The sequence below is a fragment of the Homo sapiens genome, chromosome 21 (assembly GCF_000001405.40).
Source record: "Homo sapiens chromosome 21, GRCh38.p14 Primary Assembly".
NCBI lineage: Eukaryota > Metazoa > Chordata > Mammalia > Primates > Hominidae > Homo > Homo sapiens.
In genome coordinates, this window is record NC_000021.9 from 36,982,640 (window position 1) to 37,005,009 (window position 22,370).

Genomic DNA, 22,370 nt, shown 5'->3' on the forward strand with positions numbered 1-22,370 from the left:
AATTACAGATCCCCTATTGTCCACGTCTAAATTTACGCATTGTAGCTGGGATTAGACCCATGAATCCTAGGACAATGCCAGGGGTGTCATTAACTTAAAAACTCTGGCAGGCCAAGTGCAGTGGATCACGCCTGTAATCCTAGCACTTTGGGAGACCGAGGCAGGTGGATCACGAGGTCAGGAGTTGAAGACCAGCCTGGCCAAGATGGTGAAACCCCATCTCTACTAAAAATACAAAAATTAGCCAGCCATGGTGGCACGCACCTGTAATCCCAGCTACTCGGGAAGCTGAGGCAGAGAATTGCTTAAACCCAGAAGGCGGAGGCGGAGGTTGCAGTGAGCCGAGATTGTGCCAATGCACTACAGCCTGGGCGACACAGCGAGACTCCGTCTCAAAAAAAAAACAAAAACAAAAACAAAAAAACTCTGGCGTAAGCATGGTGTGGAGAGTGTCTGCAGTGATATGAGAATCCTGGGCACAACAGCATAAGCAGCTGCCTTCAGAATCTACCGCTCTTGCCTCCCACGGTCCATACAACCTCTTTTTTATTTTCTTCTTTTTTAATGTTTGTTTATTTATTTATTTAATGAGACAGAGTCTCACTCTGTCACCCAAGCTGGAGTGCAGAAGCACGATCTTGGCTCACTGCAACCCCCGCCTCCTGGGTTCAAGTGATTCTCCTGCCTCAGCCTCCGAAGTAGCTAGGACTACAGGTGCCCACCACCACACCCAGCTAATTTTTGTATTTTTAGTAGAGATGGGGTTTCACTATGTTGGCCAGGCTGGTCTCGAACCCCTGACCTCAAGTGACCCGCCCACCTCGACCTCCCAAAGTGCTAGGATTACAGGCACGAGCCACTGCGCCCAGCCTGTGAAGGCTTTAATAGCAACAATCCTTATAAAAATGATTTTTTTGGCCGGGCGCAGTGGCTCACGCCTGTAATCCCAACACTTTGGGAGGCTGAGGCGGGCAGATCACGAGGTCAGGAGATCGAGACCATCCTGGTTAACATGGTGAAACCCAGTCTCTACTAAAAATACAAAAAATTAGCCCGGCGTGGTGGCGGGCACCTGTAGTCCCAACTACTCAGGAGGCTGAGGCAGGAGAATGGCGTGAACCCGGGAGGCAGAGCTTGCAGTGAGACGAGATGGTGTCACTGCACTCAAGCCTGGGTGACGCAGAGAGACTCCGTCTCAAAAAAAAAAAAATTTTTTTTTTTTAAGACAGGGTATATCACAGGCTGGAGTGCAGTGGTGCTATCATAGCTCACTGTAGCCTCAAACTCCTGTGCTTAACTGACCCTCCTGCCTCAGCCTCCCAAGTAGCTGATACTATATGCACAAACCACCATTGCCTGCTAATTATTTTTGTATTTTGTATAGAGATGGGTTCTTGCTATGTTGCCCAGGCTGGTCTCGAACTCCTGGCCTCAAACGATCTAACCACCTTTGCCTCACAAAGCCCTAGAATCATATACATAAGCCACCACACCTGGCCAAGAATGATTTTTTTAAATTGGAAAATTTTAAATGTTCAATAAGGAACATATTAAGCAAACTGTGGTAGAGTAGTCCCCCCTTATCCACAAGGGTATGTTCCAAGACCCCCAGTGGACGCCTGAACCCTATATATATTGTTTTTTCCTATTACTTACCTATGACAAAGTTTATACGTTAGGCACAATAACAAATTAACAACTAATAATAAAATAGGGTAATAATAAACTAATAATAAAATTAAATAAAGTAAGAATGACTAGAACACAAGCACTGTGATACCACAACAGTCGATCTGATCACCAACAGAGCTACTAAGTGACAAATGGGAGAATCTGCTGGACAAAGAGATGATTCGTGTCCCAGGTGAGACAGAACAGGAAGGTGTGAGATTTCATCGTGCTGTTCCGAACCGCACACAATTTAAAACTCATGAATTATGTTCTCACTTCTAAGTGGGAGCTCAATAATGTGTACACATGGACACAGAGAGTGGAATAACAGGCATTGGAGGCTCAGAAGGGTGGAAGGGGTGAACAATGAGAAATTACTTAATGGGTACAATGTACATGATCAGGGGTGATGGCTGCACTCAAAATCCAGACTTCACCACTTCCCAATATACCCATGTAACAAAACAGGGGCACTTGTACCCTCTAAATCTATCAAAATTAAATAAACAAATAAATCTTATGAAATGTTCTGGAATGTTCCATTTTATATTTTCTTTTTCTTGTTTTTTTTTTTTCATTTAATATTTTCAAACTGCAGTTGGCCACAGGTAACTGAAACCTTGGAAAGCAACAGCACAGCTAAGGGGACAATTACTATATATCCATTCAGTGGTACAAAGTATAACTTTCTTTCCAGAACCATTTGAGATTAAATTGCAGAAACCATGACCCTTCACCCTAGTACTTCAAGCTGTATTTCCTAAGAACAAGAATATTTCTCCAACATAACCACACTGCAATGATCAGATGCAGAAAATTTAACACTGCAATATTCAGATTCAGGTATCAGCATCCATCCAATGCTAATAACTGCTATTCACATTTAGTCAATTGTCCCAAATAACATTCTTGCTAGCAGTATTATTTTTCCCAATGCAAGGACACACATGTCATTTAGCTGCCATGTCTCTTTATTCCCTTTTAATCTGGAATAGTTCCTTAGTCTTTCATGACCTTGACATCTTTTAAAAGTCAGCCCCGGCTGGGCGCGGTGGCTCACGCCTGTAATCCCAGCACTTTGGGAGGCCAAGGCGGGCGGATCACTTGAGGTCAGGAGTTTGAGATCATCCTGGCCAACATGGTGAAACCCCGTCTCTACTAAAAATACAAAAATTCGCTGGGCACGGTGGCTCACGCCTGTAATCCCAGCACTTTGGGAGGCCGAGGCGGGCAGATCACGAGATCAAGAGATCGAGACCATCCTGGCCAAAGTAGTAAAACCCCATCTCTACTAAAAATACAAAAATTAGCTGGGCGTGGTAGTGCACACCTGTAGTCCCAGGTACTCAGGAGGCTGAGGCAGGAGAATCGCTTGGACCTGGGAGGTGGAGGTTGCAGTGAGCCAAGATCGGGCCACTGCACTCCAGCCTGGGTGACAGAGTGAGACTTGGTCTTGGGGAAAAAAAAAAAAAAAGTTAGCCCCATTATATTGCAGCTGGTCCCTCAATTTGTGTTTGTCTAATGTTTCCTAAATCCAATTCAGGTTATGCATTTTTGGCACAGGATGTCAGTTCAAATTGATGACGCTGACTTTGTTCACATGGTTAAGGTGGTTTCCAGAAGAACCACTATAAAGGTTCCTTGTATATGTTTGTAATTCATACGTAATCTGTGGAGTGAGGCTTTGGCATCTTATTCCCCAGTGCTATGGTTTGAATGTATTCCCCAAGTGCATGTGTTGGAAATGTAATCCCCAGTGCAACAGTGTTGAGAGGTGGGTGATTTGGTCATAAAGGCTCTGCTGTTATTGCGGGAGTGGGCTCCTGATAAAGGGATGAGTTTGGCCCCTTCCTTTCTCTTTCCCTTGCTCACCCTCTTGCCCTTCTGCTTTCCACCATGAGATGATGCAGCCAGAAGGCCCTCACCAGATGTGGCTCCTCAATCTTGGACTTCCCAGCCTCCAGAACCATAAGGCAAATACATTTCTGTTCATTATAAATTACCCAGTCTCAGGTATTCTGTTACGGAAGCATAAAACAGACCAAGACACCCAGTAAGCGCCCACCTGAATGAGTCATGACTGTGTTAGTTGCAATGTGGTAACTTTTCGTTTGTTTTTTGGTTTTTGAGATGGAGTTTCACTCATTGCCCAGGCTGGAGTGCAATGGTGCGATCTCAGCTCACCACAACCTCCGCCTCCCGGGTTCAAGTCATTCTCCTGCCTCAGCCTCCTGAGTAGCTGGGATTACAGGCATGTACCACCATGCCCAGCTAATTTTGTATTTTTAGTAGAGACAGGGTTTCTCCATGTTGGTCAGGCTCAGGTGATCCACCCGACCTCAGGTGATCCACCCGCCTTGGCCTCCCAAAGTGCTGGGACTACAGGCATGAGCCACTATACCCGGCCTACAATGTGGTAACGTTTTCTGTATGATTAGTCAAATGCAGTAGTGAGAAGGGGGAAAAGAATAAAACAAAGAGTTCAATCTGTAACTGACCATGAACAATCAATTGAGATAACTTGCTACCTTCAGACTAGCCAACTTTTCCAACTCTGTTGTTCCTTCAGCAATCATTAGCTGGCATTCTCCTCTTCTACCTCTGTTTATGTATTTGTTGGTAAGTTTATTTGCTTTTTAGTATGACTCTGGACTCATGGATTCTCTTTTATTCAACGTGATAATTCATTATTGCCATTATTAATTTTGATATTCAAATTGTTCCAGGTTTGGCCACTGGAGCCCCATCAAGCTGACCCCTGTGTCCTTCTGACCTGTCTCTATCATTCTTTGAGCACCTCCTTGTGTTTTGAACAAGCCGCTCCTGACTCATCGTTGACCTTCCCTCCCCTTCCCACAATGAGCCATTTCTCCTAGGAGCTCTGACTCCTTTTAATGGACAATGGTATTTAGAAAACAAGATATGGGCATGAGGAATGCTCATTGCTACTTGGGTGGCCCTGCTCCCCAGCTCTCTCAGCAGACAGATCTTAGAAATAACTCAAGTCAAAATGAAAAGCAGGACAGGCGCAGTGGCTCACTCCTGTAATCCCAGCACTTTGTGAGGCTGAGGTGGGCAGATCACTTGAGGCCAGGAGTTCGAGACCAGCATGGCTAGCATGGTGAAACCCTGTCTCTACTAAAAATACAAAAATTAGCCAGGTGTGGTGGTGCGTGCCTGTAATCCCAGCTACTCAGGAGGCTGAGGCAGAAGAATTGTCTGAACCTGGGAGGCAGAGGTTGCAGTGAGCCGAGATCACACCACTGCACTCCAGCCTGGGCAACAGAGCGAGACTCTGTCTCCAAAAAAACGAAAAGTTGTGTTATCCACCAAGTTTCCAAGTTTCTCCACTATAAAGGTTCCTTTTTTATCTTTGTAATTAATAAGTAATCTGTGGAATCTCTCATTCCAATTCATGGAGCTCTTCTTTGCCTTCCTTCACTCCATATTTTTATCTTTCTTCTCTCATAGTGAGGATCCCAGCTCCCAAGAATATCATTATATTTACTTATTTGTTTAATCCTACAATACACAGAAAATATTTTCAGAATTGCTATACCAGATCACTACCAACTAAGTGAAGTACAAAATTTCTTTGTAGTTTTGTTTGTTTACACACAGGTGGATAGTCAAAGAGCTGTGTTCAAAGTTATTTGAGTTTGCCTTTCTATGACTAATTTACTATGCAGTTTAGCTCATTTGTTCACTTCTGTTTGTATTCAATTTTAGGTTTCCTTTCCCCCATCTTATGTTGATTTAGTTTTTCTTTTTAAATACTAAAACATTAACATGTTTTGAAAAGTCAAAACTGCCCCCAAAAAAGGTATGCCTGGAGATGTGTCATTTCCTCTTAGACTTTCACCCCATTCTCATCCACCCACTGCAAGTAGCCAATTTATTAGTTTCTAGTTTTTTCTTCCTAGGTTTCTTTTTTCCCTTTTCTCTTTTTCTTTCCAAAAATAAGGAGATACTTGAATGTTTCACACAAAAAGTAGCCTAACACAGTACTCTCTGTTTAACTTTTGTTCACTTCCTAGTACTGTATACCCTAGAAATCACTCCACATCAGTTCAGAGACCTTCCTCACTGTTTTTTATACGTGCATTGTGTGGATGTACCAGGGTTTATTCACCCAATTGCCTATGTATTGGCACTGAAGTTGTTTCCAAAATTTTGCCATTGCAAACAATGCTGCAATGAGTGACCTTGTACATATATACACTTTTATACTGGTGTAGGCGTTTCTCCAGAGTAAATTCCTACCTGTAGAATTGCTGGGTCAAGGGGTAAATGCATATGTAGTTTTGTTAAACAATGCTAAATGTTCCTCTCTAGGAGTTGGACCATCTTGCATTCCCACCAGCAATGTATGAGAGCATCTGTTACCCCACAGACTGTCCTGTTGCTTTGCACTTAGCAACGGGATCAGTTAGAACCGTGATGGTATCTCAGAGTACCCTGCATTTCTCCTCCTATGGGAGAAACGGAACATCTTTTCATTGAAGGGCCAGTTTTATGTCATTTTTGTGCAGATTGTCAGTTCATGTTTTTTGCCTATTTGGTCTTTGCTTCCCTCAATGTTTGAGTTATTTACATACTTGGGATCTTAACCCTTTATCTGTGATAGATGTTGCAAATATTTTTTCCCAGTTTGACATCTGTCTTTAATCAATGGTAGGGGATTTTTTTTTCTTTTTCCTTTTAATTTTATTTTATTTTATTTATTTATTTATTTATTTTTTTTGAGACAGGGTCTCACTCCCTCACCCAGGCTGGAGTGCAGAGCCGCCATCTCTGCTGACAGCAAGCTCTGCCTCCCTGGCTAAAGCAATCCTCCCACCTCAGCCTCCGGAGTAGCTGAAACGAACTTTTCTTATTTTTTGCAGAGGGGTTTTCGCCATGTTGGCCAGGCTGGTCTCCAACTCCTGAACTCAAAGAGATTCTCCCACCTAGGCCTCCCAGCGTGCTGGGATTACAGGCGTGAGCCACAGTGTCTGGCCCATCTTTTTTTTTTTTTTTTTTTTTTTTAATGAGACGGAGTTCGCTCTTGTCGTCCAGGCTGGAGTGCAGCGGTGCAATCTCAGCTCACTGCAACCTCCACCTCCCGAGTTCAAGTGATTCTCCTGCCTCAGCCTCCTGAGTAGCTGGGATTACAGGAGCACCACCAGCAGCACGACCGACTAATTTTTGTTATTTTTAGCAGAGACACGGTTTCACCATGTTGCCCAGGCTGGTCTCGAACTCCTGACCTCAAGTGATCTGCCTGCCTCGGCCTCGCGAAGTGCTGAGATTACAAGCGTGAACCACCGCGCCCGGCCCCAGCTTCCGTTTTTTAATGTTATTATGTATCAGTCTTTTTTTTCCGGGCACTTAGGCGCTGGGTCATTAGGAAGCCTTTCCCCACACGCAGGTCCTAGTCAACCGTGCTTTTTAGCGGCGAGTAGGCCCTGCGGCTCTGCCCCTAACATGGGCGCGGGGCACGCGGCCAGGGGCCCGTGGGAGGGGGACAGGGCGCGCGAACCCAGGTTCTCAGGCCGCGTCGCCGCGCGTGCGCACTGACAGCCGGGCCGAGCCAGCCCGGGTCCCGCAGGGAAGAACGCCAGCGGCGCGCGGAGGCCGCGCTGCCCTGGGCCGCGAGGTCCCTATGGCTGCTCCACCGGAAGCCCCGCCCCCTTCTGGCAGCTGGAGGCGGCTTTCCGGCCGTCCCGGCTGCAGCCCCGAGGCCTCGACTCAGGAGACGGCTGTTCCCTGGCAGAGGCTCGCGGTGGACTGCCTGACCCTCGCCCGGCCCCAGCACGCCCCCGGCGAACGCCCACCCCTGTCCCGGCCCGCAGCGCCCCGACTTACTTCTGAGGCCGAAACGCGGCCGCTCCTGCGCCGGGTGGTCGCCCGCGAATCCCTGCCGCGCCGCGCTGCGCCCTCTCGTGGCCCGCCTGGTGGTGCAACTGGGCTCTCTGCGCAGGGCCGCGGGGCCGCCTGGCCTCCTCCTGCCCTGGCCGCGGTGCCGCGCGCTCGGGAACGCGGGCCTTTCGCCGCTAGCCAGCTTCTGCCTCTCGGCCACCTGTCCTCTCTCGCCCACGCTGCCTGGGAGGCGCGCTTCTGCCGCCTTCTTGCCGCGCTCGCTCTAGCCTCGCCCACTCCTGCGGCCTTACAGGGCCGAACCTCACCCTGCCCTGCGGAAGGCAGGCCTACACCTTCCCTCCGCGCCTTCCTCCCTGACCGGCACCAAACACCACGTTGCCCTTTCCAGCATCGACGACCTATTCCCCAGTTCTCTGACACCAGCTGAATTAGCGCGAAACTACTGGTTAAGGGATTAGCCCAGGGAGACTGCCCTCCCTTCGCCAGCCACAAGCGGGGTGCCCAGAATGCCCGCATTTCTACCCTGCCCACTAGAAACTGAGGGATTGCCACAGCTCCCGTGAGGTTCAGCAATTCCCTGGGACGACACAGAACTCAGGGAGACACTTTACTGTTAGAAGATTATTGTAAAGAACACAACTCGGTAACAGCCGAGTGCAAGAGATGCGCAGCACGGGGGGTGAAGGGCGGGAGTGCTGTCCTCACAGCACCTCTGTGTGCCCACCTGCCTGGAAGCTCTCCGAACCCTGTTTAAGAGATTTTTATCCAGGTTTCATTATGTCATTGGCCATTAGTGATTGAATTCAACCTCCAGCCCCTTTCCCTTCCCGCAAGAGGAGTAGGGACATGTTGGAGCTGAATGAAAGTTACAACCCTCTGATCACATGGTGTGTTGCACCAGCCCCACCCTGAATCCATCCTAGAGCCCGCAATTAGCCACCTCATTAGTAGAAACTGTGATTTGACTAAGGGAGTCATTATGAATAACAAAAACACTCCTATTGCCTAGGAAATTCCAAGGGGTTTAGGAGTTCTGTGTCAGGAACTGGGGACAAAGACCAAATAGATTTTTTATACCAAACTCCCTAAACCAATAACCCAGTTTAATCGTGAGAAAAACATCAGACAAATCCCAGCAGAGGGACATTGTACAAAATAGCCAACCTAAAATCGGTCAAGGTTGTGAATGTGGTCAGAATCAAAATGGTGGAGTCATTTGTGTTAAAAGAGAGAGAAAAAAAAAATGACAAATAGAGCTGGGGAAAGCCATGAAGAGGATTCTTGTTCCTAAATGCGTGATGTCACAAATGCTCATAAAAGATCAACACTGTCCACAGAGGCCATGTCAGCCTTCCCAAAAGAAGATTCCTGCCAGGACATCTGCCCAGCAATAGCCTGTCCAACTTCAGACTGGTATCACCCTGATCGATACTTGTAGCTGAGGCTAATTATCAAAAACAATATGTAATCCTCCTCATTTTTTCTTTAAAAATCTTGGTCTTCCTTTACCTCCCTGAATTTCACACACATAGCTTAAAATGGCCCACATGGCTCCATTGCAATGCCCTGTTCCCAAATAAATACCATTTTCTTTTAGAGAACCTCTCTGTTATGGAGGTTGACAAGGTCACCAAAACCAAAGAGAGTGTGAGGAACTGCCTCAGCCAAGAGGCATCTAAGGAGACATGATGGTTAAATGTAAGTGGTGTCCTAGATGGGATCCTGGAACAGAAAAAGGACATTGGTAGAAAATGGAGGAAATTTAAATAATGTACCAATAATATCAATAATATAACGTACCAATGTTGGTTTATTAATTGTTAACAAATGTGCCATACTAATGTAAGATACAAATATGAGGAAACTGGTTTATGGGAACTCTCTGCACTATCTTGCAAATTATCTGTAAATCTTAAACTATTCTAAAAATAACGCTTTAAAAAAAAATTAGAGCTGAGTGTCATGGGCACACCTGTAATCCCAGCACTTTGGGAGGCCAAGGTGGGAGGATCACTTGGGCCCAAGAGTTTCAGAGCCAGCCTGGGTGACACAGTGAGACCCCATCTCTTAAAAAAAAAAAATAGCCAGGCATGGCAGCGTGCGCCTGTAGTCCCAGCTACTCAGGAGGCTGAGGGGGGAGGATCTCTTGAGCCTAGGAGGTTGAGGCTGCCGTGAGTCAAGATGACGCCACTGCACTCCTGCCTGGGCAACAGAGCAAGATCTTGTCTCAGAAAAGACAAGAATCATAAATAAATAAACAAGTAAACTAGAAATAAGCCAGATGTGGTGAGGCATGCCTATAATCAGTTATTTGGGAGGCTGTGGTGGGAGGATAGCTTGAGCCCAGGAGTCCAAGACCAGCCTAAGCAATATAGCAAGACTCCCTCTGAAAATAAAAGGAAAAACAATTACAAAGATTTAAAAGCCCTTCAATTTTGAGGATCCACCTTCTTTAAACAGCAGAGGGAGAAAGTGTATAAATTGAGTGACATTCACTGGAATTAGGAGATCCGGAGTGGAAATTTCCAGAGAAATTCCAAAAATCCTGGTGAGAAGAAAGGAATAGCCATAGCAGGCCCTGAGAATACAGAGCTTCCTAGCCAAGTCAAATCCGTCCCATCCTTCTCCCACCTCCACTCCCCCTCCCCTGGCACCAAGGGGGTCAGCAGAGGGAGCAGAAACCTTCAGCCACTCCCCTTCCTGCAGACCAGCAGCCCCAGCCCTGACCACAGCTGGCTGGCCTTGGAATGAAGCTTGAAGGACTGATAAATACCTGGGACTGGACGTACTAGTTTCTGAATTGAGAACAAGTTTGTGATTTAAAGTGATCTTGGCCGGGCGCAAATGGCTCACGCCTGTAATCCCTGCCCTTTGGGAGGCTTAGGCGGGCAGATCACCTGAGGTCGGGAGATTGAGACCAGCCTGGCCAACATAGCGAACCCCCGTCTCTACTAAACATACAAAAATTAGCCAGGCATGGCGGCTTGCGCCTGTAATCCCAGCTACTCAGGAGGCTGAGACAGGAGAATCACTTGAGCCCAGGAAGTGGAGGTTGCAGTGAGCCAAGATCTCACTACTGCACTCCAGCCTGGGCAATGGAGCAAGACTGCATCTCAAAACAAACAAACAAACAAATCAATAAAGTGACTCTAAGATTGTCCCCAACCTAACATGAGCAGAAACGTTTTGGGTCTGTGTTATGAGTTCAATTGTATCCTCCTAAAAAAGCTATGTTAAAGTCCTAAATGCTCGCATACCTGAGAATATGACCTCCTTTGAAAACAAGGTCGTTGCAGATGTAATTAGTTAAGATGAGGTCACACTCACCTAATATGCCTGGTGTCTTTGTGATAATATGGACATATGGCGACAGAGGGACTGGGAGAATGCCACGTGACAACAAAGGCAGAGGCTGGCCCAATGCTGCAAACCACCGAAGCAAGGAAGAAGCGAGGAAGACTTGAGGAAGGATCCCCCACAGGTTTCAGAGGGAGCACAGCCCTCCTGCCACTTTAATTTTGAACTTCTAGGCTCAAGAATTGCGAGACAAAATTCTGTTGTTTTAAGGCACCCCGTTTGTAGTACTTTGCTGCAGAGGCCCTGAGAGTCCAATTCAGCCCTATTAGCTTTTTCATCCGGGGCAAGTGAAGATACTCTCTACTGGATACAGATAGAGATGGTAGAAGATAAAGCTGTGTTTCTCACGTCCTGTGAGTTATGCATGCAAGGTACCAGTTACTCAACTGTCCTGTGGACTAAATCTCTTTAAGGGACTAAGGGAGCTTACCAGGCCCCTGGTAAGGAGGCCTAGGCCCATAGGTGGTACCAAAGCAAAAGGGACCTAGCACAGTGGTGAAAAACTCCAGCATACCTTCTGGGAACTTGCCCTGCAGATACGGTCATCTGTGTGCAAAATGGTGTATGTGTGTACAAGGTTATTCACTGAGGCATTGTTTGCAATAACAGAAGGTTGGAAACCACTACATATCCAATAGGTATGGAAGGCAAATAAGTATTTGTACTCCATGCGCTATTAAGACTGTGCAGCTTGGCCGGGCATGGTGGCTCATGCCTGTAATCCCAGCACTTTGGGAGGCCGAGGTGGGTGGATCACGAGGTCGGGGGTTCGAGACCAGTCTGATCAACACGGTGAAACCCCCATCTCTACTAAAAATACAAAAAACTGGCCAGGCTGGTGGCGCGCGCCTGTAATCCCAGCTACGTGGGAGGCTGAGGCAGGAGAATCGCTTGAACCCGGGAAGCGGAGGTTGCAGTGAGCTGAGATAGCGCCACTGCACTCCAGCCTGGGCGACAGAGCGAGACTCCGTCTCAGAAACAAACCAACCAACAAAAAAACCGTGCAGCTCTTAAAAACTGGGAGGAAGCGACGCCCAGCAAGACGGCGGCAGCGCAGCGCGTGTGTTGTTGAGGATCCAGGACGCTGGCCCGCGGGCGTCTTGGTCTTCTTCACCGCTGCGAAATCGCGTCACCTACCGCTACTGGCGGATTCGGGAGGTGCTGAAGCACGCCAAGCACTTCCGGCGGGGGAGCGGGGTGCGGGGGAAATTGCTGCTACAGGTTGGCGGTCAGAGCCGGGACTGGAGCCTTTGTGAAATGCACCAAAGCCGGAAACCTGAAGAAGAGGACCATGAGGACCCTCTGGATTAATCGAATTACAGCTGCTACCCAGGAACACGGCCCGAAGTACCCAGCGTTCACTGGCAATTTAATTAAGTGCCAGGTGAAGCGCCACAAGAAAGTCCCAGCGAATCTGGCCATCTACGAACCAGAGACTTTTAAATCTTTGGCTGCCTTGGCCAATAGGAGGCGACAGGAAGAATTTGCTGCTGCCTTAGGAGATGGGAAGGCAGCATATTTTTCCAGAATGGTACAGTACCGCTGAGGACCGTTGCTGTATTGACTAGGAAAAGACACAGAGTAATTTGCATTTTATTTGATTTGTGCTTGTGTTTATCCACATTCGAGTAACAGGCATGAGGGAAGGCCCCTTCTCTCTGGGACAGAGCCTCACAGATGGCTTCCGTGTTTCGTGTGAATGAAACTCAAACATTGTTCGAAAAAAAAAAAATTGGGAGGAAGCAAGAAAGAAAAAGAGTAAGGGACCTGTTTGTATACTAATAGAGAAATAGAAATATCTGGAATACAGTAACCTCCCTTTTGTGTAAAAGGCAGGGAGGCTGATAAGAAAATAATATAACTGTATTTCGGCCGGGTGGAGTGGCTCACGTCTGTAATCCCAGCACTTTGGGGGCCACGGCGGGTGGATCTCTTGAGAGCAGGAGTTTGAGACCAGCCTGGGCAATACGGTAAAACCCCGTCTCTACTAAAATTACAAAAATTAGCCAGTGTGGTGATGCACACATGTAATCCCAGCTACTCAGGAGGTTGAGGCATGAGAATCGCTTGAACCCGGGAGGCGGAGGTTGCAGTGAGCAGAAATCACGCCACTGCACTCCAGTCTGGGCGACAGAGCAAGACTCTGTCTTGAAAAATAAAATAAAATACATAAAAAAGATAAAATAAAATAAAGAATATAAAATGCACTTATTGTCTATTATGTACTGGACATTGTTCTATCAGTACACAGCCAAGGGTGAAATAGGCCATGGCTAGAAGTGAACAAAGTTATTTACTCACAGAAAATGGGCAGTGGGCTAGGCATATTTACTCATCTTTATTTCAAACGTTAGAAAAGAATTCCTGTACATTTCTAGGAGCCATAGATGCCCAGGATACCAATGCTTTTACTTCCTCACATTCTTCATGCTTCTGTAGCCGCAGAGCAAAATATAGATAGTGTTTTCTATAGGTACACTATAAGAACCCAGAGAGGCAGAGGAAACTGGATGGGTCTGAATTCCAACCCATCAGAACAGAAGCTAAGTTTCAGTGTGACCCACAGCCTGACTAGTTTTCATTCAGGATTGGTCTTTCAGTTCCAGGCCGGGAGCATGGTGGCTCATGCCTGTAATCCCAGGACTTTGGGAAGCTGAGGCGGGAGGATCAATTGAGTCCGGGAGTTTGAGACCAACTCAGGCATTATAGTGAGACTCCATCTCTACAGAAAATTTAAAAAGTAGGCATGGTGGTACATACCTGTAGTCTCAACTACTTGGGAGGCTGAGGTGGGAGGATCTCTCGAGCCAAGGAGGTCGAGGCTGCAGTAAGCCATGATGACACCACTGCACTCTAGCCTGGGTGACAGAGCGAGACCCTGTCTCAAAAAAAAAAAAAAAAGAGAGAAAAAGAAAAAAATGAGTTCCACATCTTGCTCGCAGCCCATTCTCTATGAATTGAGAGATGACAGAAGATGACTGTTTTTTTGTTTTGTTTTGTTTTGTTTTTTTGAGATGGAGTCTCGCTCTGTCAGGCTGGAGTAGTGCAGTGGTGCAATCTTGGCTCACTGCAACCTCTGCCTCCCGGGTTCAAGCAATTCTGCCTCAGCCTCCTGAGTAGCTGGGATTACAGGTGTGCACCACCACGCCTGGCTAATTTTTATATTTTTAGTAGAGACAGGGTTTCACCATGTTGGCCAGGATGTTGTCAATCTCCTGACCTCATGATCCACCCACCTCAGCCTCCCAAAGTGCTGGGATTACAGGCGTGAGCCACCGCACCCAGCCTGGATGACTTTTTAACCATGTGTTTGTGATCTTCTCCATGGCCTCTGCTGCTCAGCTTATTAATAGGTTGGTTGGCCATCTACAATTTATCTTTCATGTCTTTCCCCCAGAAAGCCAGTGTACCTGTGATGGGAGATCAATCCTGACAGCTCACAGAACGAGTCTGGTCTTCTGTGGAGCACACCTGCTAAGTCCCAGACTCTGCAGCAAGCCTGGCTGGCTTCACATCACACTCCTGATCTTCGGGGTGACTTTGAAGTAATGATTGAGCTTCTCTATGACTTGGTTTCCTCTCCTCAAAATATGGATAACCTACTTTCTCTCTTACATGCTTATTGTCAGGACTGAGTAAATTAAAATCCACAAACCACAGTCCTGGCACACAGTACATGCTCAATAAATGTTAAAGTTATAGTTACTACAGTAGCTATTATTAATGCAGTGGACATGTCTCCGCCTCAGCTTCCATTATCTTGTCTGCAAAATGAAAAGATGAACCAGGAATGAGACTGAAGTTCTCTTCTAGCTCTGAGATCTGTAGGTCTGGCTTTCCTGATTTGCTTTGTCCATTTTTTTTTCCCACATGGCACTGTATGTGCCCAGGCAATATGTAACGAATAGGAGTTTCTTCTGTTTTCCTATAGAAACAACTAGAAGAGTGAATCTCATTACATTGACAAACTCAGGGACCAGGCCAGGCGCGGTGGCTCACACCTGTAATCCCAGCACTTTGGGAGGCCGAGGTGGATGGATCACTTGAGGCCAGGAGTTTGAGACCAGCCTGTGCAACATGGTGAAACCCCGTCTCTACTGAAAAGACAAAAATAGCCAGGTGTGGTGGTGCGCACCTGTAGTCCCAGCTACTCAGGAGGCTGAGGCAGGAGAATAGCTTGAACCAGGAGATGGAGGTTGCAGTGAGCTGAGACCACAGCACTGCACACCAGTCTGGGCAACAGAGTGAAACTACGGCTCAAAAAAAAATGACCACACACTGGGCGGTTTACAACAACAGCAGTGTCTTGTCTCACAGCTCTGGGGCCTGAAGTCTGAAACCCAGGTGCCTGCAGCGTTGTTTCCTTGAAGAGGCTCTCGGGGAGAATCAGTCCCATGCCCCTCTCCCTCTCCTTGCATCTGATGTTGCCAGCAGACCTTGTGTTCCTTGGCTCCTAGAGGCTTCACTCCAGTCTCTGTGTCTGTCTTCTCATGGCTGTCTTCTCCGTGTGTCTCTGTGTTTCCAATCTCCTTCCGCCTTTTTCTTATGAGGACGCCTGTCATTGGATTTAGGTTCCACCCTGTGTTAGTCTGTTTTGTGCTGCTGTAATACAATGCCAGAGACTAGGTAATGATAAAAAAAAAAAAAAAGGAAATGGATTTCATACAATTCTAGAGGCTAGGAAGCCCAAGGTCAAGGCACTGGTAGGATTGGTGTCTGGTGAGGGCCTGGTCTCTGCTTCCAAGATGGTGCCTTGAATACGGGGAGGAACGCTGTTCCTTACAAAGCAAAAGGGTATAAGAGTGAGAACCCACTCCTGACAGCCTTTTTTTTAAGGGCATTAAACCCATCCATGAGGGCAGAACTCTCATGGCCTAATCACCTGTTAAAGGCCCCACCTCCCAATACCATTACATTGAAAATTAAATTTCAACAACAGTTTGGGAGAGGACAAATATCCAATCCATAGTACACCCTAAATCCAGAATGATCTCCTCTCAAGATCCCTGCTACCACCTCCTTCTCCTCCTTCTCCTCCTCCTCTTCCTTCTCCTCCTTCTGCTTCTTATTGTTGTTATTTTAGAGACAGGGTCTTGCTTTATCTCCCAAGCTAGAGTGCAGTGGTGCGATCATAGCTTACTGCAGCCTCCAACCCCTGGGCTCAAGTGATCCTTCCACCTCAGCCTCCCGAGTAGCTGGGACTACAGTTGTGTACCAACATGCCTGGCTAGGAGTCTCTAATTTAATTGCATCTGCCAAGCCTCTTTTTCCAAGTAAGGTCACATTCACAGGTTCTGGGGGGCAGGGCTTAGACATAGATTTTTGGGGGCCACTGCTTAATGTACTGTAGGAGGGCCACATCCTGTGTACTACAGGGACAGCCTGAGGTGAGATTCTGCTACCTACCACGTGCCACCTGTGGATAAAACTTTCTGCTTTCCGTGTTTTCTCATGGTGGGTGTTAGCTCAAAGTACATAATTAAATTGGACGACTCCATAGTACTTCTTCATTTTCTTCTGAAGCTAGCTGAGCAGTGACTGAAACAGAGGAAACCCCTGCCCTCATGGAACTGACACACTCCTAGGAAAGGCAGACAACAAGTAAAACAAATAGGTAAGAGACAGTAGGACAGGCACAGTGGCTCACGCCTGTGCTCCCAGCACTTTGGGAGGCTTAGGTGGGTGAACTGCTAAAGCTTAGGAATTCCAGGCCAGCCTGGGTAATGTGGCAAAACCACTTCTCTACAAAAAAATTCAAAAATTAGCCAGGTGTGGTGGTGTACACCTGTAGTCCCAGTTGCTCGGGAGGCTGAGGCAGGAGGATCGCTTGAGCCCAGGAGGTTGAGGCTGCAGTGAGCCCTGATTGCACCACTGCATTCCAGCCTGGGTGACAGAGCGAGACCCTGTCTTAAAAGAAATAGTAGGTTAAATGAGTTAAGGTGATAGATATATGAAAAATATGGTTATGTTAAATGTAATGGAGAAAACTGAAGCAGGGAAGGAGGCTAGGGAATGCCACGGTACACGTGTCTTTGTGAGTGTGAAGGAGAGAGAGGCTTTAAACAGGTGTCCAGAGAAGGCGTCATCCCCGGAGGAGATCGGAGTCAGACCTGAAGGAGGTGAGGTGGCAGGCCATGCAGACGTCTGGAAGGACAGTGTTGCAGGCAGAGGCCCTGAGACATGAATGTGCCTGGGAGGCTCCCAGGCCAGAAACAGTCCAGAGGGAAGGGGGTCTGTGGGGAGTGGGGTAGGGAAGGTAAAGCCAGGGCTATAGATGGTTCCAGCTTCCAGACATCAGTCATGGCATGGTTAAGCTAGGGATGTCTGCAGTCATGCAGAAACGCTTCTTCTTCTTCTTCTTTTTTTTTTTTCTTTTTGAGTTTGAGTTTTACTCTTGTTGCCCAGGTTAGAGTGCAATGGTGCAATCTTGGCTCATCAGAGCCTCCGTCTCCCGGGTTCAAATGATTCTCCTGCCTCAGCCTCCCAAGTAGCTGGGATTACAGGCGTGCACCACCATGCCCAGCTAATTAACTTTTTTCTTTTATTTTCTTTTTTCTTTTTCTTGAGACGGAATCTTGCTCTTGTTGCCCAGGCTAGAGTGCAATGGCGTGATCTTGGCTCACCGCAACCTCCGCCTCCCGGGTTCAAGCGATTCTCCTGCCTCAGCCTCCCAAGTAGCTGAGATTACAGGTATGCGCCACCATGCCTGGCTAATTTTGTATTTTTAGTAGAGACAGGGTTTCTCCATGTTGGTCAGGCTGGTCTCAAACTCCCGACCTTAGGTGATCCTCCTGCCTCAGCCTCCCAAAGTGCTGGAATTACAGGCGTGAGCCACCGCGCCTGGCCTTTTTTTTTTCCCGAAAGCTAACGTGGGCCTTAACATAAGGATTCAAAAACAGGTATATTTCACCTAACAATTCTATTTCTGAGAATATATCCAAAAGAACTGACAGCAGGTGCTTGAAGGAATGGTGTTCATAGTGCATTATTCACAACAGCCAGAAGGTGGAAGCAACTCAAGTGTCCATCTACTGAGGATGAATGGATAAACAAAATGTGGTCTCTGCACACAAGGGAATATTACTCAGCCTGAAAAAGGAAAGAAATTCTAAGCTATACTACAATATGGATGAACCTTATGGGTATTATGCTGAGTGCAATAAATCCGCCAAGAAAGGCAAATACTCACAGATTCCACTTATATGAGGTACCTATAATTCTCAAACTCACGAGGACAGAAAGAATGGTGGCTGCCAGGGCCTGGCAAAGGGGGAAGTGGGAAGTTACTGTTGAAGAGTTTCAGCTTTGCAAGATGAAGAGTTCTCTGGGTAGATGGTGGTGATGGGAGCACAGCAGCATGAGTGTACCTAATGCTGCTAAACTGTGCACCTCAAATGGTAAAGATGCTAGATTCCATGTTACGTGTATTTTACCACAATTGTAAAAAATAAAAATAAATAACTTTTGGCTGGACATGGTGGTTCACACCTGTAGTCCCAGCATTTTGGGAGGCCGAGGCGGGCAGATCTCTTGAGGTCAGGAGTTTGAGACCAGTCTAAACAACATGATGAGACCCCGTTTCTACTAAAAATACAAAAATTAGCTGGGTGTGGTGGCACACCCCTGTAATCCCAGCTACTCAGGAGGCTGAGGCATGAGAATTGCTTGAACCCGGGAGGCAGAGGTTGCCATGAGCCGAGATTGCGCCACTGCACTCCAGCCGGTGTGACAGAATGACACTCCATCTCAAACAAAACAAAACAAACAAACAAAAAACTTAAAAAAAAAACACCCCAAACAAATATATCTCTTATTCCCATGGAACAAATATACAAATATCCTTTTTTGGTCTTAAATATTTTAGAAAATAACAACATCAAAAGCAGTAACAACCTCTTGTAGCTTCTAAAACAGCTTTCAGAGTTGCAGAACACTTAGGAGCAGATAACAGGAAATACGGTCTAACTAAACAGAAGAAAAGGAAATTATCATTTCCCTGCTTGTCTTCAGCACTGTTTATGTAAAAATATTCTGACCTCTTAGATGTTCTGAGTTTTGGGATCCTCTTCCTAGGCAGGCCGGAAACCTTCAGGGCTGACATCTTTACTTTTTGTTTCCAGGCAACAGTGGAGAGTCAGCATATGAAAAAGAATTTTTAATTAAAGACAGCAGGAGAAGAAATAGAATCTCCATTTTATTTAACTCCCGGGCAGAGAGGGTTTCACACACTTGAAGTTCAGCAATTTTTCCCAGTTTATAAGCCAGGGGCCTAATTAAGTTTCTTAAGATTTCTACCCCTTCCCCAAATTACTTCCTCTATTATAAAGACCTCCCATGGACTCAAACAAAGTTTAAGAAATAGTTTAAAATACTTGGTAACACAAAAGGTCTTTGAATTCCCAACTACCTCAATGGCAATTTATTTTGTTCACTGTATTTTAATTCCTGCACCTGCAAAAGAAAAACTAAAAAACAAACAAACAAAAAACTCTCATTTTACATTACCAGTAAATTTATTTTTCATTAAACACATTTTCAACAAAAACACGCATAATTATGGATTTTAATTATGGTTTATGTAGCTACATTCTACCTCCCCGAGGACAGATTATCCACATAAATTATTTGGAATTCTTCTACTAAGGAAATTTGTCTATTCTCCCCATATTTTCAATTATTCAATATTTACTGATATCAATATAAGCTCAAGAGTATTTATTTTATACCTCGAGTTATAAACAAATATTACTTTATTTTGTTGCTCAAATTGTCCCAGCTTTGGCCATGGTGGTCTTATATTGTACTTGGCCGAAGGAAAAAAAAAAGAGAGAGAAAATAGACTGTCTACTGCCTGCAGGTGCTGAGTTTGGTCTTTTTGCTCTTTAAATTTATTTTTATTTTATTTTATATTTATTTTTTGAGACAGAGTCTCACTCTGTCATTTGGGCTGGTGTATAGTGATGCAATCTTGGCTTACTGCAACTTCCACCTCCCGGGTTCGAGCGATTCTCCTGCCTCAGCCTCCGGAGTAGCTAGGATTACAGGTGCACACCACCACGCCTGGCTAATTTTTTGTATTTTTTTTTTTTTAAGTACTGACAGGGTTTCACCATGTTGGCCTGGCTGGTCTCAAACTCCTGACCTAATGTGATCCACCTGCCTCGGCCTCGCAAAGTGCTGGGATTCCAGACGTGAGCTACCATGCCCAGCCCTTCAAATTTATTTTTAGTGGCGCTCACTTTCTTTTTTTTCTTTTCTTTTCTTTTTTTTTTTTTTTTGAGACAGAGTCTCATTGTGCAGTCCAGGCTAGAGGGCAATGGTGCGGTCTCAGCTCACTGCAACCTCTGCCTTCCGGGTTCAAGCGATCCTCCTGCCTCAGCCCTCCGAGTAGGTGGGACTACAGGCGTGTGCCACTACTCCCGGGTAATTTTTGTATTTTTATTAGAGACGGGGTTTCACTGTGTTGGCCAGGCTGGTCTTGAACTCCTGACCTCATGACCCACCCGCCTTGGCCTTCCAAACTGCTGGGATTACAGGGGTGAGCCACCGCGCCTGGCCGTGGCATTCACTTTCTACAGCCCAGGTATCTGACAGGAACTCGAGTCCTGCTTCTCTGTACCAGTTACTTAACCTCTGGGAAGTCCAGTTTCTTAATCTGTAAACTGAGGATAATGCCTGATTTGCAGGGTTAGAGGGAGGATTATAAATTAATGTATGCTCCAGAAAAGACCAAATGATTCTACCTCTGTGAGGTGCCTGGAATGGTCAAATGCATAGATACAGAAAGCGGAATGGTGGTTACCAATGGCAGGGGGTGGGGAATGAGGAGTTACTGTTTCACGGGTACAGAGTTTGGTTTGGGATGATGAAAAAGTTCTGGAGATGGGGGGCCGGTTGCACAACAATGTGAGTGGATTTATTGCCACTGAATTGTACATTTGAAAATGGTTAAAATGGTAAATTTTATGTTATGTACCTTTTGCCACAATAAAAAGTAATATATTCATTGTTGAAAATTTAGAAAACAAGTTTTAAAGCCCCTCCAAATCTTTGGTAATGTCAGCACTCAGCAGGCACTTCTGTTTTATTTGTAGCCTTTGAATATATAGTTCACATCCTATGCATACAGTTTTGTTCTTTCCACATGGTCATGTTTTTCCTATGCTGTCCAAAACTCTGTAAACATATTTTTATTAACTGCATACTATTCTACCGTCATTTGTTTAATCATTGCCATATTTTTGGACATAGTTTTTCAACAGTGTAAGCAGCGCTCTCTGATTAAATACATCTTCATTCCCATTTCAGAATACATCTACAGTATAGACACAAGTAGAATTACTGGGACAAAAGGTGAACTTTCATTTTTGTTGTGCTTTTTTTGAGACAGGGTCTTAGGGTCTTGCTCTGTGGCCCAACATGGAGTGCAGTGGCATGATCATGGCTCACTGCAGCCTGCAACTCCTGGGTTCAAACAGTCCTCCCACCTCAGCCTCCTGGGTAGCTGGGACCACAAACATGTGTCACCACACCCGGCCTGGGTGAACATTTTTATGGCACACAATACACCTTATCAAACTTTTTCATTGCATTGCCACCAGCTACCTAGAAGACACTCATTTAAAAACATCCACACCTAGCCAGGCGTGGTGGTGTACACCTGTAGTCCTAGCTACTTGGGAGGCTGAGGTGGGAGGATCATTTGAGCCTGGAAGGTTGAGGCTGCAGTGAGCCGTGATCATGCCACTGCACTCCAACCTGGGCAACAGGGCAAGACTCTGTCTCAAAAAACAAACAAACAAAAAACACAACGAAAACACCCCTTCTGCACCCAGTTGCCCAGTGTTCTTTCATTTTCTTTTCTTTTTTTAAAAAATTATATATATATATATTTGAGAAAAATAACAGCGTCTCACTCTGTGGCCCAGGCTGGGCTGCAGTGGTGTGATCATGTCTTACTGCAGCCTCAACTTCCTCGAGCTCAGGTAATCCTCCCACCTCAGCCTCCTGAGTAGCTGGGACCACAGGCCCACTCCACCACGCCTGGTTAATTTTTGTATTTTTGTAGAGACGGGGTTTCACCACTCCGGCCAGGCTGGTCTGGAACTCTTGACCTCAAGTGATCTGCCTGCCTCTGCTTCCCAAAGTGTGCAGATTACAGGATTGAGCCACCGCGCCCTGCCCAGTGTTCTTGTAAAACCCCATTCTGCATTTAGATTAAATATGGTACCTTATTGTTGCAATATGGCCCACTAATGTTCTTTGCCTCCTTCTAGCCTCCTCCCATTAATTCCCCCCTCTTAAATGTTTGCCTTTATTTAGATTTAATTATTGTTGCTCAAAATCTTAATTAAAAAAATGTGAAAACACTTTAATGTCTGAAGTTCTTCGATTTTTTTTTTTTTTTTTTTTTTGAGACAGAGTCTGGCTCTTGTTGCCCAGGCTAGAGTGCACTGGCGCGATCTCGGCTCACTGCAACT

At 46.1% G+C, this 22,370-nt stretch overlaps 1 protein-coding gene and 1 pseudogene across 5 annotated transcripts in view, besides 2 other annotated features; one reads left to right on the forward strand and one right to left on the reverse strand.

The window, feature by feature from the left end:
- The window catches only part of HLCS (holocarboxylase synthetase), a 241,587-nt gene extending 234,015 nt beyond the window's left edge, over nt 1-7,572 (reverse strand). For all 5 annotated transcript variants that reach the window (NR_148020.2, XM_024452065.2, NM_001352515.2 and 2 more), the window contains exon 1: nt 7,519-7,572. The gene's annotated coding sequence lies outside the window, so the exon portion shown is untranslated. The remainder of the gene's footprint in view (nt 1-7,518) is intronic.
- Nucleotides 7,044-7,683: a silencer, noted in NCBI's record as "silent region_13293". NCBI's record gives its function as "represses an Ori minimal core promoter by ATAC-STARR-seq in GM12878 lymphoblastoid cells {active_cell/tissue: GM12878}" and the evidence as "EXISTENCE:reporter gene assay evidence [ECO:0000049][PMID:35858748]".
- Nucleotides 7,834-7,883: a silencer, noted in NCBI's record as "silent region_13294". NCBI's record gives its function as "represses an Ori minimal core promoter by ATAC-STARR-seq in GM12878 lymphoblastoid cells {active_cell/tissue: GM12878}" and the evidence as "EXISTENCE:reporter gene assay evidence [ECO:0000049][PMID:35858748]".
- On the forward strand, nt 11,919-12,609 carry MRPL20P1 (mitochondrial ribosomal protein L20 pseudogene 1; annotated as a pseudogene).